Source organism: Homo sapiens, chromosome 11 (assembly GCF_000001405.40).
Source record: "Homo sapiens chromosome 11, GRCh38.p14 Primary Assembly".
In the NCBI taxonomy this organism is placed as follows: domain Eukaryota; kingdom Metazoa; phylum Chordata; class Mammalia; order Primates; family Hominidae; genus Homo; species Homo sapiens.
Window position 1 is genome coordinate 2330394 of NC_000011.10, and position 19819 is coordinate 2350212.

At 47.8% G+C, this 19819-nt stretch overlaps 2 long non-coding RNA genes and 1 pseudogene across 2 annotated transcripts in view, besides 2 other annotated features; 1 reads left to right on the forward strand and 2 right to left on the reverse strand.

Annotated features, from left to right (window-relative positions):
- CD81-AS1 (CD81 antisense RNA 1) overlaps positions 1-19819 on the reverse strand; it is a 49244-nt gene that overhangs the window by 1645 nt on the left and 27780 nt on the right. The gene's annotated exons all lie outside the window — the stretch shown is intronic.
- On the reverse strand, positions 4918-5371 carry RPL26P30 (ribosomal protein L26 pseudogene 30; annotated as a pseudogene).
- On the forward strand, positions 5740-11701 carry LOC124902611 (uncharacterized). Its single transcript, XR_007062551.1, has 2 exons — positions 5740-6116; positions 11526-11701. It is a non-coding gene; the product is annotated as an uncharacterized LOC124902611 (long non-coding RNA).
- Positions 8062-8979: an enhancer, noted in NCBI's record as "OCT4-NANOG-H3K27ac-H3K4me1 hESC enhancer chr11:2359685-2360602 (GRCh37/hg19 assembly coordinates)". NCBI's record gives its function as "activates a minimal SCP1, AML or CMV promoter by ChIP-STARR-seq in naive H9 embryonic stem cells {active_cell/tissue: H9 hESC(naive)}" and the evidence as "EXISTENCE:reporter gene assay evidence [ECO:0000049][PMID:30033119]".
- Positions 8980-9895: an enhancer, noted in NCBI's record as "OCT4-NANOG-H3K27ac-H3K4me1 hESC enhancer chr11:2360603-2361518 (GRCh37/hg19 assembly coordinates)". NCBI's record gives its function as "activates a minimal SCP1, AML or CMV promoter by ChIP-STARR-seq in naive H9 embryonic stem cells {active_cell/tissue: H9 hESC(naive)}" and the evidence as "EXISTENCE:reporter gene assay evidence [ECO:0000049][PMID:30033119]".

Below are 19819 nucleotides of genomic sequence, written 5' to 3' on the forward strand. Positions count from 1 at the left end.
AGGTTGCAGTGAGCCGAGATCGTACCACTACGCTCCCGCCTGGGCGACAGAGCCAGATTCCATCTCAAAATAAATAAATAAATAAAGGCTGTTCCAACTATATAGGAGTTCAGGATACTGGCAAGGGTGTGATTAAAGTGAAGGACCAGGTGTTCCCAGCTGTGCAGGCAAAGAAGTGCAGTGAGGAAAGCATGCAGTACGGCTGCGTAGAGCACTCCCAGCAAAGCAGGTGGGCAAAGCAAACACACAGGGCCTGGAGGTGTGGAAGGGGTGCAAGGTTTGGACTTTAAATCTCAGAGAGGAAGCAACCCAAAATTAAAGAGACCCCAGGGATGGTGATGGGCACAGTGGGGCAGATGAAGTTCACTGGACAGGGGAGGTCAGGGGCCTAGGGGCCGTGGTGTGGGGTTGCTTGTCCCAGCTGGGATGGACACAGGAATTGGGCTGGAGAAGATGTACATGAGGTGGTCTTGTCTAAACCCTGCACATCCAGCTCCAAGCATGCAGGTAAATTCCCCCGGAACCAACTCCCATGCCAACGTCAGACTCGAACAAGTCCAAGGATGCTGAGTAACAGTCAGGGTTCTCCAGAGAAACCGAGTCAGTAAGATGTGTACATACACACAGAGAGAGATTATTGTAAGGACTTGGCTCACACAATTACAGAGGCTGAGCAGTCCCAAGATCCGTAGTTGGGAACCTTGGAGACCCAGGAGGACTGATGGTGTAAGCTCCCGTCTGAAAGGCAGCAGGCTCAAGACCCAAGGAGAGCCAATGTTTCAGTTTGAGTTTGAAGACAGGAAAAAACCAATGTCCCAGCTCACCCAGGTAAGAGGACTTCCCTCTTATTTGTCACGCGCCTCTGTGTGAAGAGACCACCAAATAGGTTTTGTGTGAGCAATGAAGCTTTTTAATCACCTGGGTGCAGGCAGACTGGGTCCAAAAAAGGAGTCAGCAAAGGGAGATAGGGGTGGGGCAGTTTTATAGGATTTGGGTAGGTAGTGGAAAATTACAGTTAAAGGGGGTTTTTCTTTTGTGGGCAGGGGCGGGGGGGTTACAAAGTGCTCGGTGGGGACCTTCTGATACTCATTGACCAGGAGAAGGAATTTCACAAGGTCAATTGATTAGTTAGGGTGGGGCAGGAACAAATCACCATGGTGGAATGTCATCAGTTAAGGCAGCAACTGTCTACTTTCACTTCTTTTGTGGTTCTTCAGTTGCTTCAGGCCATCTGGATGTATACATGCAGGCTTGGGCTCAGAACCCTGACACCACTCAGCCATTTTGTTCTATGCAGGCCTTCAGTGGGTGGGATGAGGCCCTCTAGAAAATAAAAGGTTTCGCTCTCCCTCTCCCTCTCCTTCTCCCTCTCCGTCTCCCTCTCCCTCTCCCCACGGTCTCCCTCTCATGCGGAGCCGAAGCTGGACTGTACTGCTGCCATCTCGGCTCACTGCAACCTCCCTGCCTGATTCTCCTGCCTCAGCCTGCCGAGTGCCTGCGATTGCAGGCACGCGCCACCACGCCTGACTGGTTTTGGTGGAGACGGGATTTTGCTGTGATGGCCGGGCCGGTCTCCAGCCCCTAACCGCGAGTGATCCGCCAGCCTTGGCCTCCCGAGGTGCCGGGATTGCAGACGGACTCTCGTTCACTCAGTGCTCAATGGTGCCCAGGCTGGAGTGCAGTGGTGTGATCTCGGCTCACTACAACCTACACCTCCCAGCCGCCTGCCTTGGCCTCCCAAAGTGCTGAGATTGCAGCCTCTGCCCGGCCGCCACCCCGTCTGGGAAGTGAGGAGTGTCTCTGCCTGGCCGCCCATCGTCTGGGATGTGAGGAGCCCCTCTGCCTGGCTGCCCAGTCTGGAAAGTGAGGAGCGTCTCCGCCCGGCCGCCATCCCATCTAGGAAGTGAGGAGCGCCTCTTCCCAGCCGCCATCACATCTAGGAAGTGAGGAGTGTCTCTGCCCGGCCGCCCATCGTCTGAGATGTGGGGAGCGCCTCTGACCCGCCGCCCCATCTGGGATGTGAGGAGCGCCTCTGCCCGGCCGAGACCCCGTCTGGGAGGTGAGGAGCGTCTCTGCCCGGCCGCCCTGTCTGAGAAGTGAGGAGACCCTCTGCCTGGCAACCACCCCGTCTGAGAAGTGAGGAGCCTCTCCGCCCGGCAGCCACCCCATCTGGGAAGTGAGGAGCGTCTCCACCCGGCAGCCACCCCGTCCGGGAGGGAGGTGGGGGGGGTCAGCCCCCCGCCCGGCCAGTCGCCCCATCCGGGAGGGAGGTGGGGGGGGTCAGCCCCCTGCCCGGCCAGTCGCCCCATCCGGGAGGGAGGTGGGGGGGTCAGCCCCCAGCCCGGCCAGCCGCCCCGTCTGGGAGGTGAGGGGCGCCTCTGCCCGGCCGTCCCTACTGGGAAGTGAGGAGCCCCTCTGCCTGGCCAGCCGCCCCGTCCGGGAGGGAGGTCAGGGGGTCAGCCCCCCGCCCGGCCAGCCGCCCCGTCCGGGAGGTGAGGGGCGCCTCTGCCCGGCCGCCCCTACTGGGAAGTGAGGAGCCCCTCTGCCCTCTGGGCCCGTCTGGGAGGTGTGCCCAACAGCTCATTGAGAACGGGCCAGGATGACAATGGCGGCTTTGTGGAATAGAAAGGTGGGAAAGGTGGGGAAAAGATTGAGAAATCGGATGGTTGCCGTGTCTGTGTAGAAAGAAGTAGACATGGGAGACTTTTCATTTTGTTCTGCACTAAGAAAAATTCTTCTGCCTTGGGATCCTGTTGATCTGTGACCTTACCCCCAAACCTGTGCTCTCTGAAACATGTGCTGTGTCCACTCAGGGTTAAATGGATTAAGGGTGGTGCAAGATGTGCTTTGTTAAACAGATGCTTGAAGGCAGCATGCTCGTTAAGAGTCATCACCAATCCCTAATCTCAAGTAATCAGGGACACAAACACTGCGGAAGGCCGGAAGGCCGCAGGGTCCTCTGCCTAGGAAAACCAGAGACCTTTGTTCACTTGTTTATCTGCTGACCTTCCCTCCACTATTGTCCCATGACCCTGCCAAATCCCCCTCTGTGAGAAACACCCAAGAATTATCAATAAAAAAATAAATTAAAAAAAAAAAAAAAGTTACTCAGGAGACCCTTTTAGAAATACTTAGGGAAAGATAAGCTGTCTCCTTGGGATGACTGGGCTGGTGTCTGTGCATATGCCTTCTCTGGATCCAAGTGACTTTACCACACCAAGCCTTAAGACTGCCAGACTGTTCTCTCCATTGAAAGCCATTCTGCACCACTGGCCATACAGAAGGAATCTCATATTCCAGGAGACTGGCCCAAACAGGACTGTTGAGTGGCTCTAAGGCTTTTAGACGTCAAAAGGGTTTATAAGAATAATCATCATAATATAGTTATGAATCAGAAACATGCATACATTTTCTTAAATGACCCTGTGGGGACTGGAGTTAAAAAGGGAGGAGTACCCAGATGCAGGCGTCTAGCAGAATGGACTTGCTTGAGAATATCAAGCAAGACAGCCAAAGAGGACTCCTAGGATTGTCTCACCAGGACTTCTGAGGCGACTCTAATGAAATGACTTAAAAGTGTGGTGGAGTGGCTTCTGTGGCTCCCACACCGGCCTAATCCTGGTTGATATTGCACAACCAGGGTGCACTGACAATCTCTGGGAAAAAAGCAAGGTCTAATATTCAAAGCTTGGCAAACATGACCAAGACTTTTTCTCTTTCCTTTGAATTATTTTAGTTCCCTAATTTTTTGTCCCATATGCCACTTAATTCTTTTTATTTTGTATTAAAAGTTGTGCTCTTGTCTCAACCTTCTTTCTAGATTGGATCCTGCATGTTTTTTTTATCATTATACTTTTGGCAGCCCTACCACTAGGCTTCCTGAAATATAGCACCTTTGTTTTTGTTTGTTTGTTTGTTTGTTTTGAGACCGAGTTTCGCTCTGTCACCCAGGCTGGAGTGCAATGGCACAATCTCAGCTCACTGCAACCTCTGCCTCCTGGGTTCAAGCGATTCTCCTACCTCAGCTTCCTGAGTAGCTGGGATTACAGGTGCGTGCCACCACCCCCGGCTAATTTTTGTGTTTTTATTGAGATGGGGTTTCACCATGTTGGCCAGACTGGTCTCAAACTCCTGATCCCATGATCTGCCTGCCTAGGCCTTCCAAAGTGCTGGGATTATAGGTGTGAGCCACCGCGCCCTGCCTGCACCTTTGTTATATAGAAAATTCTTATCAACATTATTGTCTACTTTTAGACTTTATTTTGTTCTATTGAACTATTCTGGTTCTAGTACCATACATTAAAATTATAGCTTTATAATACTTTTTAACATCTGACAGGATGTGCTCCCCTTATCATCCTTCTTTTTCAATATTTTATCATTCTCACAGTTTTTCTCAGATCAACTTCACATGTAATTTACAAAAGAAATTAAAATTACATTGGTATTTAGGTGGAAATTATGTTAAATTTATGTACTAATCTGGAGAAGTCTTGTTTTGTAATAATAATTCTTACCATGAAGGAAAATAGCTTCTCTCTCCGCTGATTCATGTTTTTTCTCATGTCTCTCAGTAGAGTTTATAGCTTTTTTTGTATAAGTTCTCATAATTGCTTGAATATATTCCTAATTATTTAAAAAAAAAAAAAAGAAAATAAAAGGTTTCCACTTTCAAAGTTCCCCTTCTTGTTAAAGAATGAATCATAAGTGTTAGAAATAACAGTTTCTTTTTTTTTTTTTTGGAAGCATTTCCCATTTTTATTCATAAAATTATTACTTAAAATTGCAAAAGTAGATTTACAGAGCCACAGGTAACAAAACAGGAAATGAAATGTTCCAGACATTCCGAAAAGTTCGAAAGAAACACACCCTAGCCTCAAAATCTCCGGTTAAACCGTGGTTGCACAACAGGTTCTATTTATTCCTGCATTTTCTCAATAAGTTCTTCTTTATATTTGCCTTTCTCTTTTCCAACTTGTTGAGACTTGGCTTTGCGTTCAAGAATTTTTTTCCGATCCTTGTCCAGTTTTAGCCTGGTGATAACCACCTTGCTTGGGTGAATGCCCACGTGGACAGTCGTGCCGTTGGCCTTCTCACGCTGCACCCGCTCGATGTAGATGACATATTTCTTTCTGTACACCTGGATTACCTTGCCAATTTGCTGACCTTTGTAGTGTCCTCGAACTACCTGGACCTCGTCGTCCTTGCGGATGGGCATGGAGCGGACATTGTACTTCTGCCGCAGCTCCTTGGAGAGCGGGGATGACATGATCTTCCTGCGCACGTGTGAGGGGGCATTGAAGTAACGTTTGCGGTTTTTACTGCGGTCCGAGGTAACGAAGGGATTGAACTTCATGGTGACCCTCCGGCTACTAGCTGCCTCAGACCCTCAACAGTTTCTTTTAAAGACTAACTTTCTTCAAGCCTCCTTGCTTTGTGCTAATAACTCTTTGTTAAGCTCTATCCTATGTAACTGTTGGACATCCTCACCAACATATTCCAGCTCACAGCCTATGCCCCTTCCTTATTTGGTGATGTTATTGCCTCCTGAGACTTTTCATAAGCAACTTATTTGTTCTTCCCTGCACTTACCTATTTAGGAAAGTTTCAGGTTATTAGCAAATCGGGTATCACTTTAAGATTGTGAGGTCCCACTCCAGCCAATGGATGCAGGACATAGCAGTAAGGACAACCCAAATGCGTAAGGGATAAATACATCTGCTTTTCCTTTGTTCAGGTGTGCTCTCACCATTGTTCCATCTGCGACTGAGCACCATTTCTGCAAAAAGTAAAGATGGCCTTGCTGAGAGATCTTTTGTCTCTGTGCTGACTTTTCTTCACGGCACTGATTATCTTTTTCTAACAATTTTGGTGGCAATTGTATGGGGATATACTTTCCTCCAGGGGCGTCTCTAGTCCTCTCTCACGAGGGGGCACTCTGCTGCCTCTTGCAGTGGCCTCAGGGGTAAGGGACCGAGACCCATCCGGTGTGACCAATAAACCCGGACTCTCAGCAATGTGGAAAGAAACTGGCCAACAACCTGGGGTAAAGGATCCTCACATACCGAGGTGACGACTCTGTGCACAGACCAACGAAGGAGAAGCCACGGGAGCCGGTAAAGTACTTCTTGGTGGTCAGATTCTGGGGGGCTGAATGTGTGTGTGCACGTGAATGATCACAGACAACCCTGCTTGCGGTGTTGTGTGGATGGTGACAAATCCTACTGCTGGACGGAGTGTTTGGGTCCTCTCTGTGCTTCCAGAGCAACCTCAGATGGCTTAGGGCAGATCCTGCCATGGGATTTATACTGGCACGCCAACTCTAAGAGGGGCCTAGCTCTCCCTTGGGGGAGTGGCCAGAGAGGACAACACAAGTGGGAAGTGTGCAAGGGACCTTCAGAGGAGGAAAGGGAGGAAACAGGTCAACCTCTCACGGCAGGCAAGGCAAGACACCCCCTGGTTTGAGGGGGTCTTCTGCAAATTTCAGGGAGTTGAACCTCATACAAACCTCCGGTAGTAAGAAAAATATTCAGAGTTCTCCTTTCCCTTCTTCTCGGGGGAAGAAAGAGGCTAAGCTCCACTCCGCTTGTCCCTTCCCTAGGGGAAGGGGAAGGAGAAGGGAGAATAGCAGCATAAGCGACTGGCAGAGGCAGGGAAAGACCGGCAGAAAGGAAAGAGAAACTGGGAGAGGAAGTCAGAGAGAGAGAGAGACAAAGAGGGAGTCAAAGAGAGAGAAAGAGAGAGACAGAGAGTCAGAGAGAGAGAAAGAGAGAGACAGAGACAAAGAGGGAGTTAGAGAGAGAAAAAGAGAGACAGAGAGTAAGAGAGAGAGAGTCAGAGAGAGAGAAAGAGAAGTAGTAAAGAGAAAACAGTGTACCCTATTCCTTTAAAAGCCAGGGTAAATTTAAAACCTATAATTGATCATTGAAGATCTTCTCTGTGACCCTAGAACACTCCAATACTGCCTGTAAAGAAGCAAGACGAGTCACACCAGTGACTGCAAGACCCTAGAGCTATTAACCAGTTAGTCCAAACTACCCACCCTGTTGTTACAGTAATAGATGTAAAAGATGCCTTCTGGGCTTGTCCATTTGCAGAGGACAGCCAGGACCTATATGCCTTTGAGTGAGAAGACCCTCACTCCGGTGGAAAATGGTAATACCAATAGACGGTCTTACCCCAAGGGTTTACGGAGTCTCCAAATTTATTTGGTCAAATATTCAAATAAGTCATTTAATTAGCAAAGGTAAACAGAAAATTGAGCTTGAATGGATTGAAGGCATCACATTCTTGCCTCTGCTGGAGACTAAATAAGAGCTTAGAAAATTTTGGGATTAGTTGTATGGATACCGTCGTCTATGGGTAGACTCATGCCCTAAAAACAAAACTCTTACACAAAAAGCTCACACGAGACAGACCAAACCCCCTCATGTGGCAATTACCAGAAATCCAACAGGTGGGAAGGTTAAAACATCTATTAGTAACTGCCCCTGTCCTAGCTTTACTCTCCTTAAGCAGCCATTCCACCTTGTTGGTGGTGTAAACAACGGCGTAGCCCAAAAACACTGAGGCCACTGACAACCCATAGCCTTCCTAATCAAAAATCCTTAACCCAGTAACCCGCGGATGGTCCAAATGCATTCAATCTGTAGCAGCAACTTCTTTGCTGACAGAAGAAAGTAGAAAAATAACTTTGAGAAGAAACCTCATTGTGAGCACACCTCACCAGGTCAGAACTATCCTAAGTCAAAAAAAAAAAAAAAAAAAGAAAAGCAAAAAGGTAGCTTACTAACTCAAAAAATTTAAAATATGAAGCGATTCTGTCAGAAAAAGATGATTTAACATTAACCACTGATCATTCCCTTAACCCAGCAGGTTTGCTAACAGGGGATCTAACTCTTAATGAATTACCATACAAAGGTCCAACCAGACCTAGAAGGAACTCCCTTCAAGACAGGACAATAGATGGTTCCTCCCAGGTGAATGAGGGAAAAAGCCACAATGGGTATTCATTAAGTAATGGGGAAATAGGAGTAGAGTTAGGAAAATTGCCTAGGAGTTGGGGAGTTGTTTGCACTGAGCCAAGCCTTAAGATACTGACAGAATCAGGAAGGAGTCATTGTGAAAAGTGAAGTAGAGTTTCCTCCTCAAAAGACTTTCCTCCCCATCTAATCAGGAATAAATAGTAACTTCTCTTAGTAGCAAAATGTATTCAAAGACCAGCGCTAACATTCTTAAATATCTGCTAGACGTAATAAAGAAATCAATGTACTTTATGTCCTTAGCTCCCACAATTTAGTCTAAATGTTTGCTCTGGCATGCTTATACTGGTCCAGGCAAGCATTAGGTCCTATCCTGTTCCTCTTCCTTGTTTGTGTCTCACATGTCCGTGTGAAAAGACCACCAAACAGGCTTTGTGTGAGCAACAAGGCTGTGTATTTCACCTGGGTGCAGGCGGGCTGAGTCCGAAAAGAGAGTCAGCAAAGGGTGGTGGATTATCATTAGTTCCTACAGGTTTTGGGGTAGGCGGTTGGGTTAGGAGCAATGTTTTGCCAGCAGGGGGTGGATCTCGCAGAGTACATTCTCAAGGGTGGGGAGAATTACAACGAACCTTCTTAAGGGTTGGGGAGATTACAGAGTACATTGATCAGTTAGGGTGGGGCAGAAACAGATCACAATGGTGGAATGTCATCAGTTAAGGCTATTTTCACTTCTTTTGTGGATCTTTGGTTGCTTCGGGCCATCTGGATGTATACGTGCAGGTCACAGGGGATATGATGGTTTAGCTTGGGCCCAGAGGCCTGACAGTTTGAAGGTGTTTTTACCTTTCTCAGCATTCCACGAGTTACTTCTTCCTTTGTTCTCCTCTGCCTTTGCCTCTTTTAAAAAGTTCTAAGTTGCTAGCCAGTCGGGACAAATGCAGAATGTCAGGCCTCTGAGCCCAAGCTAAGCCATCGCATCCCCTGTGACTTGCACGTATATACGCCCAGATGGCCTGAAGTAACTGAAGAATCACAAAAGAAGTGAATATGCCCTGCCCCACCTTACCTGATGACATTCCACCACAAAAGAAGTGTAAATGGCCGGTCCTTGCCTTAAGTGATGACATTACCTTGTGAAATCCCTTCTCCTGGCTCATCCTGGCTCAAAAATCTCCCCCACTGAGCACCTTGCGACCCCCCACTCTGCTCGCCAGAGAACAACTCCACTTTGACTGTAATTTTCCTTTATCTACCCAAATCCTATAAAACGGCCCCACCCTTATCTCCCTTCGCTGACTGTCTTTTCGGACTCAGCCCGCCTGCACCCAGGTGAAATAAACAGCCGCGTTGCTCACACAAAGCCTGTTTGGTGGTCTCTTCACACGGACGCGCGTGAAACAGAATGTGAGGTCCCGTTCCAGCCAATGGAAACCAGACACAGCAGTAGGGTGGACGCGTCAGGTTATAAATGACCCTGTCTCCTTTGCTCAGTGTACTCTCGTGGCAAAACTGCTGCCGAGTGTACCCTTTCTACAGAAAGTATAAAAATGACCTTGCGTAGGAAATTAAATTTATGTTCAAGTGCCATTTCTTTATGGCACCGGGGAGCAAGCATTTCAAACATCATTTGTACCAATTCTAAGTTAAATTTGGACTAAACAAGGTCTTATTAATAGCAAAGGATAATTGAAATCCCAAACTTACAAGGTTTTCAACAAAAGTAAAGTTTGCTAAAAGTTAACAGTATAACATGTATTATCCTAACTTCTAATGTTGTGACCTTAGGCTGTCTAGTCCACAGACATAAAGGAAGTTCGCTTTGGAAAAGAATGGTTATCATCTTTGAGAGAAAAAAAATTGTTTCGAAGGTTTAAGCAAGTTTTGAAATATTCATTGTAAAGGAAACATATTGGCTAAAGTTAAAGGGGTATCTTCCAGTTTTTCTGTGAACTGGACATTAAAATAAAAGCCCAGTGGGTTTTTCTTAAAGCGCTAACCTGCTCTTTAACAAAAATTACGAAAGGTTAAAAATTATAAAAGTTTAAAAAAAGAGTCTGGAAATCTCACCTTGTGGTCAGACCTTAAAATTGGATACATATGTCTACAAGGTTTTATTAAAATGAAGTTTAACACGAATAACACACTAATGTAAAGGTGAAATTTAGCTGATCTGGTATAAAATCACACAGGAAGCACTGTCAAATATAAAATGGTGTTTGGCTTTCTTTGGTCTAAAAACTAATAAAAATAGGTACTAAAGGAAATTTCTCAGCAAGAAGGCACTAAGGACTATAAAATCCACTGCTGATGTCCCCACCTTTAAAACAAAAGATCAATTTTTAGAAATGATATACTTGGTTTATCCTCCACCCTTAAAACAAAAGGTCTTCTAGCACAGGCCCTGCCCTGAGAGTTTCCAGTACATCAGCACCAGCCTGGGGATCCCGTTCTCATCAAAGGGTGGAAAGAAGGGAAACTGGAGCCAGCCTGGGAAGGACCCTGCCTTGTGCTGCTGACTACCGAGATTGCTATTCGTACAACGGAAAGGGGGTGGACACGTCCCACCAGAGTCAAGCAAGCACCATTATCAACAGAATCATGGGCCATTGTTTCTGGATCAAGCCCTACCAAATTAAAGCTAAGGAAAGCTGAGTCTATCTCTTTCCTTTCCTTTCCTAACCCAGTGCCTATATCCATGACTATTCCTACCACTAGCAACTCTAACCCCACTTTAGAGAGTTTCTGTGGTTTGGGAGCAGAGGTCACTGGAAGGGATCCTATAGGCTTCAAGGTGCGCTTTGTTCTCCCTCCTCCACCTCCTACGACTGCCCCTTTCCCAAACCTACAACATCAAACTATGCCTCGCCTCATGCCAAATGACACAAGCAAGTTCTTAGAAGTAGAAATAGGAGACCCAAGGCAAACCCTAGCCATTGAAAGAGGGTATAAAGACATAAATGCCGGTTAAAACGGATTAAATATCCCGTTCGCACTTTAAGCAAAAGTGACCATTAAGCTTGTGGGCGCGGTAGGCCAGAGGCTCAGGATGCCTCCTTTCCACTGGGACGGTCCTCAAATCAAGCGGACATGGAGTGCGTGGTAGCTCTTTTCGAAGATTCCACCACCTGGAATAACGAATTGTGCCAAGCTCTTTCTCTGCTATTTCCTGAAGTTCAGTGCCCTGTGGGTCAGCCCCCGAGGGCCATCCAGCCTTCATCTTCCAAAACCAATTTTACCTCGTGTCTCCAACAACGAGGGGAAAAAACTTGGCATTCCTTGGAGACTTAAAAGGTTGCAGTAAAGTCAGGCACCTCCAAAAGCTGACCCATCGGTCTGCCCTTATTCATCCCTGAGCGGATGTATGGTGGTATTATGGAGGACCTTTACTGGACACTCTGCCAAATAATGAGAGCAGTACTGATGCTGTAGTTCAGTTGGCTATCCCTTTTACTCTGGCATTTCATCAACCAGAAAAAGAAAAAAAAATGTAGCCTCAATTCTTACCTCTTTAACAACGCTAATAAGTATACTCTTTCTTCGTAGGTGTTATGTCGTACCATACATCCAGGAGTTCATCAAAACAACTAAGCCAAGACATGCTAAGAAAGTTTGAAGAGGAAAACTATACAGTAAAAGAGGAGGGAATTGTAGGAAGTAAAAAGTTTCTGCTTCAAAGTTCCCCTTCTTGTTAAAGAATAAATCATAAGTCTTAGAAATAATAGATTCTTTTAAAGACTAATTTTCTTCAAGCCTCCTTGCTTTGTGCTAATAGCTCTTTGTTAAGCCCTATCCTATGTAACTGTTGGACATGCTCACAGACACATTCCAGCTCACAGCCTATGCCCCTTCCTTAATTGGAAATGTTATTGCTTCCTGAAACCTTTTGTAAGCAACTTCTTTGTTCTTCCTTGCACTTACCTATTTAGGAAAGTTTCAAATCGGGTATCAGTTTAAGATAGTGAGGTCCCACTCCAGCCAATGGATGCAGGACACAGCAGTAAGGACAACCCAAATGCGTAAGGGATAAATACATCTGCTTTTCCTTTGTTCAGGTGTGCTCTCACCATTGTTCCATCTGCAGTTGAGCACCCTTTCTGCAGAAAGTAAAGATGGCCTTGCTGAGAGATCTTTTGTCTCTGTGCTGACTCTTCTTCGCAGCACCGATTATCTATTTCTAACAATTTTGGTATTTCTAACAGGCCCACACACACTGTGTGGGCCAAGCTGCTTCACTCAGTCCACTGATCAAATGCTCATCTCATCCTCACAGACACACCCAGGATACTGCTTGACCAAATATCTGGACAACCCATGGCCCAGTCAAGTCGACAGACCAAATGAACTGTCACAGACAGCTTCTGTCCTTGGAACGGGGTGGGATTCCACGGACTCTCTCCCTTCACAGTGGAGATGCTCAGTCAGCAAGCTGCCAGAAGTTCAGAGCTGGGGAAGATATAAAGAGGACTGGGCATGGAAGCTGCAGGAACTAGTCAGGAACTGGGAGTACCTAGGAGTCAGCTCCTGAGTGTGCAGGATCATGGTGAAATAGAAAGTTAGAGAAGGAAGAGTGTGTCAATATCAGAGCATTGTCTTATAGCACAGGACTTAACCCTCTCCTAAGGTTCCAGGGAGACAGTGCCAAATCATCACTTGAGTGGTGCTTAGAAGCTTCAGGGCAAAAGAGCCAACCCTAAGTACATTTGTCTACTGGGGCTGCCATCACAAAGCACCGCAGACAGGGTGGCTTATACAACAGACTCATTGTCTCACAATCCTGGCGGCTGGAGTCCAAGATCAAGGTTTTGCAAGGCTAGCTCCTCCTGAGGCCTCTCTTGGCTTGTAGATGACCGGGGCCTTCTCTCTGTGTCCTCACAGGGTCTTCCCTCAGTGCGTGTCCGTGTCCTCACCTCCTCTTGTAAGACTCCAGTCCTATGAGATTAGGACCCACTGTCATGAACTCATTTACTGTTGATTACCTTTGTTTTATGTTTTTTGTTTTTTTGAGACAGGGTCAGTCTCTGTCACCCAGGCTGGAGTGCAGTGGTGCAATCATGGCTCACTGCAGCCTCAAACTCCTGGGCTCAAGGAATCCTCCCACCTCAATCTCCCAAGTAGCTGGGACTACAGATGCATACCACTGTGCCTGGGTGTATTAGTCTGTTATTGCACAGCTATAAAGAAATACCTGAGAGTGGGTAACTTATAAAGAAAGGAGGTTTAATTGGCTCACGGTTCATAGCTGCTTCTGGGGAGGCCTCAGGAAAGTTTCAGTCATGGTGGAAGGTGAAGGGGAAGCAGACACGTCTTACACGGCCAGACAGTTCCTCCTACACTGGCTGACACTCTCTCCTGCCACCTTGTGAAGAAGGTGCCTGCTTCCTTTTCTGCCATGACTGTAAGTTTCCTGAGGCCTCCCCAGCCATGTGGGACTGTGAGTCAATTAAACCTCCTTTGTTTATAAATTGCCCAGTCTCCGGTAGTATCTTTATAACAGTGTGAGGATGAGCTAATACACACAGGAAGCAGCAATGCCATCAAAGAGCCAGGGGCCTTGACTGGCAGAACTAGTGAGACCATCACCAAAACATGGCATTCCTTGGGCAAGGCAGGTGCGCAGCCAGCAAGGTATTGCTTAATCTACATGATCAAAAGACATCAGGATGGTTGTTCAGGAGGCTGAGAACAGCCATCCTATTATGGCTGAGTTGTGTCCCCTCAAAATTTATATACTGAAGTCTTAACCCCCCAGGACCTCAGTGTGTAAGTATTTGGAGAAAGGGCCTTTAAAGATGTAGTTAAATTAAAATGAAGACATTAGGGTGGGCCCTAATCCAATCTGACTGGTGTCCTTGTAAGAAGAGGAGATGAGGACACATGCAGAGGCATGACCACATGAGGACACAGGGAGAAGGTGGCCATCTGCAAATCAAGGAGTGAGGCCTCGGGAGGAACCAGCACTACCAACACCTTGATCTCGGACTTCCAGTCTCCAGAACCATGAGATGATGAAAGTCTGTGTTTAAGCTGCCCAGTCTGTGATATTGTTTTGCAACCCTAATAGATGAATACATACCCCAATGAAAAAGCATGATCTCTTGCCCAGTTTCTGCACCTGAGACAGTTTTCAAACCCAAACCCCACTGATTGAAGGAGGGATTAGGTCCCAGGAGGACGGACCCTGCAGTACCATAGCAGGCTCCCCCAGTCCTTCCCCACCCCACCACTAAAGGTGTATTTCAGTAACTGTGCACTAGGAAAAGGGCAATGCCCAGGGCTGGGGGACTCCGGGACCAAGTTGACACTGAGAGCTGGAGTCAAGGTACCATCATGGGCCCACTAGAGTAGGGCGTATGGAGGCCAGCAAAGTGCAATCCTGGTCCACCTCTAGCTCACACTGAGTCATCCCTTTGCATTCCCAGAATGCTGCATATTCCCCCAGACCCTAAAAGTACACTCAGACAATCTTGGTAGTTGGCAGAATCCTCACGTAGGCTCATTGTCCTGTAGGGTAAAAACTATCATAGTGTTACCAAGTAGAAACTTCTGAAACTGCCCACCACCTTAGCCAAGGCAATACACCAAAAAGAAAATCTCATTGGTGGGGAATGGCAGAGATGTGGGCCCCTTTGGAAGACTTGAAGGTTGCAGGTGAGGCGATTCCCATCATCTCCCCCATTTTCCAGAGAATGCTAACAGACTACTGTCAACTTGTGATGGGAAATTTTATGCGTCCACTTCACTGGGCCATGGTGCCCAGATGTTTGGTTAAACATTATTCTGGGTGTGTCTGCAAGGTGTTTCTGGATATGCTTAGCATTTGAATCTGTGGACTGAGAAAAGCAGGTCACTCTCTCTGGTAAAGGTGGGCCTCATCCAATCAGTTGAAGGTCTGACTAAAACAAAAAGATTAAGCAAGAGAAAATTCGCTCTCCCTGCCTGTCTTAGTCTGTTTATGTTGCTATAAAGGAATATTGGAGCCTGGGTAATTGATAAAGAAAAGAGGTTTATTTGGCTCATGGTTCTGCAGGCTGTACAAGAAACATGACATCTGCATCTGCTGCTGGTGAGGGCCTCAGGCTGCTTCCACTCCTGACAGAAGATGAAGGGGAGCCAGTGTGTGCAGAGGTCACATGGTGAGAGAAACAAGTGAACATGGGACTGCCAGGTTGTTTTCAACAACCAGCTGTCAGGGGAACTCAGAGTGAGAACTCACTCACTACCATGAGGATGGCACCAAGCCATCCATGAGGGATCTGCCCTCACAACCCAAACACCCCCATTAGACACCACCTCCAGCACTGAGGACCAAATTTCAACATGATTGATAGCCCAGCTCAAAGAGCCGCTTGTCTTTGAGCTGGGATATCAGTGTTCTGCCTTCACACTCAGATTGGAACTTACACCATCAGCTCTCCTGGGTCTCCAGCTTGCAGATGGCAGATGGGGATACTTTCCAACCTCCATAATCACAGGAGCCAATTCCCCCTAAAAAGCCCCTGTGTATATGTACAGCTAATCCCAAGCTCCACTGAGCAGTAGCCCAGTGGATTGTTGCTGTGCCAGCTGTGCTATATTTGCTGGAGCAGAGGGCTGTGGAATGGGGTACATGTTAAGCACCCATTAGTGGGTGGATTTGTTCTATGCCATCCCTATTTAAAAAGAGCCCTGGACACCTTTTGGGGGACATCATCATTCTGCCCACCACCCCGGGACAGGAGGCACATGAATGAACTCACAGGTGTGGCCATGAGAGGTGAAGAGCTTGGTATCACGTGTTCATTCCCAACAGAGAGCATCCACCAGGGAGCCACTAAGCAACCAGTTAGACAGAATGGCCGCAGTCCTTGACTTCAGCCAGCCTCTGTCCCCGACCACCTGAGTGCTGGCCCCCTGGGTGCATGCATGGAGCAGCTTTGGTGGTAGAAAGGGATGCTGACCATGAAATCAACAGCACAGCTCCACCCACCAAGGCTGGTCTAGCCACTGCTGCCACAAATGCCCAACCTGTCTGCAACATGGGCTGCTGAGAAGCCCCCACTAGGCACTATCCATAGAGAAAGTTGACAAGGCAACAGAAGCATCCATCCCATTGGGGGCAGCAATTCAACTCCACTAGAATTGACACATAACCCAGGCTGATCCCCAGGCCTTATTAAGTGTTGATCCACCAAACAGGGCATGCGTAGCAGTGCCTTGGACCAAGGGACCCACTTTACAACACAGGGAGGAGGTGCAGCCATGGCACATGGCACATGGCACATGGCCATGGCATCTGCTGGTCCTATCACAGCCCACACCACTCAGACGCAGCCAGCACCACAGAGCAGGGGAGCAGCCTTTTCAGAGCTCCATGAAGGCCCCAGCGTGGGGGTGATACTGTTCAAGGATGGGGTGTCACATTGTGGAACTCAGTAGTCACTCCAACTCAACAGCCACCATGGGGTGCTATGTCCCCAACAGGCCTCGGAACCAAGGGGCAGAAGCAGCAGCGGCCCCTGTACCACCACTGCCAGTGACCTGCTGTGGGTTTTGTGCATGCTGTTCCCTCCACTCTAGGCTGCCAGTCCGGGGTCGTGGTTTCCACAGGGGACAACGCCACCAGTGGACAGATAGGAGACCCACTGAAATTTAGGCTACAGCCGATGCCTTGTCACTTTGGATTATTTGTCCCTGGAGACCAACAGTCATGACAACGAGCCCCCAAACTGGGAGGGAGGTGGGCCGTGGCCATCAGGAGGCAGTAGAACTGCTACTCCATGAGGGGACAGGAAAGAATACATTTGGTGCCTGGTGATCCAAGTGGTGGGACTTGGGGGACTTGGTGTTCCCTCAACTGCTTTATTCATGAGTGGACAAGTACAACAGCCATGGCCTGAGCAGGGATGGTGACCAGGGCCCCAGACCCCTCACTGAGGAGGGTCCCAGTTGGCCCACTGGGTAGGCCACAGAGACTAGAAGAGGTGCCCACTGACAGGGAAGGAACCAAACATGAGTCAGGGAAGAACAAGGGTCATGACAGCCATGGCCAAGACGCTATGGGGCACAGGCTGTAGTTGGCTGTTTCTCTAAACTTGTAAACCCAGGTATTAGTCAGCGTTCTCCAGAGAATCAGAACCCCAGGATATATACATACAGACATATGAGAGGATTTATGAGGGGAATCGGCTCACATGATTATGCAGGCTGAGAAGTCTCATGACAGGCTGTCTGCAAGCTGGAAACCTAGAGAAGCTGGTGCGGGGCTCATTCCAAGTCCAAAGGCCTCAGAACCAGGGGAGCGGATTGTGTAACTCTGAGTCCGAGGCCAAAGGCCTGAAAACTGGTGGTGGTGGAGTGGCTACTGGTGTGAGTCCCAGAGCACAATGGCTGGAGAACCCGGAGTTCCGATGTCCACAGTCAGGAGAAGATGGGTTGCCTAGCCCTGGAGAGAAGGAGAATTCGTCATTCCCTGCCTTTTTTCTCTCTCTAGGCCCTCAACCTATTGGATGGTGCCAACCACATCAAGTGAGGGTAGATCTTCCTTATTCAGTCCATGGATTCAAATAACAATCTCTTTCAAATCTACCCTCACAGATACCCAGAAATAATGCTTTGCAAGATGTGATGGTTAATTTTGGGTGTCAACTTTACTAGATTAAGTGATACCCAGGTATCTGGAAAAGCATTATTTCTGGGTGTGTCTGTAATATAGGTTGGATGTCACCCTCTACCCCCTACCCAAATCTCATGTTGAATTGTAATCCTTCATGCTGGAGGTGGGGCCTGGTGGGAGGTGATTGGATCACGAGGTGGATCCTTCATAGCTTGATGATGTCCTCATGGCAGTCATAAGATCAGGCTGTTTGAAAGTGTGTGGCACCTCCCCCACCTCTCTCTTGCTCCTGCTTTTGCCATGTGATGTGCCTATTCCCCCTTTGCCTTCCACCATGATTGGAAGTTTCCTGAGGCGTCCCCAGAAGCAGATGCTTCTATGCTTCCTGTACAGCCTGCAGAACTGTGAGCCAATTAAACCTCTTTTCTTATAAATTATCCAGTCTCTTTTATCTCAGGTCTTTCTTTTCTTTTCTTTTCTTTTCTTTTCTTTCTTTTCTTTCTCTTCTCTTTCTCTTTCTTTCTTTTTCTTTCTTTCTGTCTTTCTTTCTTTCAGACAGATTTCCCTCAGTCTCCTACAGTGCAGTGGCGCAATCTCAGCTCACTGCAACCTCCACATCCCAGGTTCAAGCCATTTTTGTGCCTCAGCCTCTCGAGTAGCTGGGATTACAGTCATGCACCACTGTGCCCAGCTAATTTTGTGTTTTTGGTAGACACAGGGTTTCTCCATGCTGGCCAGGCTTGTCTCAAACTCCTGACCTCAGGTGATCCACCTGCCTTGGCCCCTCAAAGTGCTGGGATTATAGCCACCATGCCTGGCCCCAGGTATTTTTTTACAGGAGTGCAAGAATGGCCTAATACAGAAACTTGGTACCAGGGAGAAAGATATTTCTATAAAGATATCTGAAAATGTGGAAGCAACTTTGCAACTGGGTTACAGGCAGAAGTTGGAAGATCTTGAAAGGCTCACAAGAAGAGAGGAAGATGAAGGAAAGTTTGGAACCTCTTAGAGACTGGTTAAATGGCTGTGACCAAAATGCTAATAGTGATATGGACAGTGAAGGACAGGCTGATGAAGTCTCAGATGGAAATGAGAAACTTATTTGGAACTACAGCAAAAGTCACATGTGTTATGCCTTAGCAAACACTTGACTGCATCCTGTTCATGCCTTAGGGATCTGTGGAAGTTTGAGCTTGAGAGTGATGACTCAAGGTATCTGGCAGAAGATATTTCTAGGCAGCAAAGCATTCAAGATGTGGCCTGGCTGCTTCTAACAACCTACACACAGATGCGGGAGCAAAGAAATGACCTAAAGTTGGAATTTACATTTAAAAGGAAAGCAGAGTGTAAACATTTAAAAAAATTTGCAGCCTGGTCAAGTGGTAGAGAAAGAAACAGCTTTTTCAGGAAATAAATTCAAGCACACTCTGGAGCTACCGCTTACTAGAGAAATTTGCACAACTGAAACAGAGCCAAGTGCTAATATCCAAAGACAATGGGGAAAAGGCCTCAAAGGCATTTCAGAAACTTCCAAAGAAGCCCCTCCCATCACAAGCTCAGAGGCCTAGGAGGAAAGAATGGTTTCATGGACCAAACCCAGGGCCCAGTGCCCTGCACAGCCTTGGGACACTGTTCCCCACATCTCGGCCACTCTGGGTTCAGCCTCAGCTAAAACGGGTCCAGGTACAACTTGGGCTGCCATTACAGCTCCAGAGAGTGCAAGCCATAAGCCTTGGCAGCTTCCGTGTAGTGTTAAACCTGCAGCCACACAGAATGTAAAAGTGAAGGAGGCTTAGGAGCCTCCACCTAGATTTCAGAGGATGTATGGAAAAGCCTGGGTGCCCAGGAGGAAGCCTGCCACAGGGGCAGTTACCTCACAGAGAACCTCTACTAAGGCAGTGCAGGGGGGGAATGTGGGGCTGGAGGCCCCACACAGAGTCTCCAGTGGGGCACTTCCTAGTGGACCCATGGGAAGGAAGGGGGCCACTGTCCTCCAGGCCCCAGGATGGTAGATCCACTGGAAGCTTGCACTCTGCACATAGAAAAGCAGCAGGCACTCAACAACCTGTGACAGCAGCCACAAGAGCTGCACCCTGCAGAGATACAGGGGCAGAGTGGCCCAAGGCCTGGGGTGGCACACCCCTCGCACCAGCATGCCCTGGAAATGGGACATGGAGTCAAAGGAGACTACCCTAGAGCTTTAAGATTTAATGACTGCCCTGCTGGGTTTTGGACTTGTATGCAG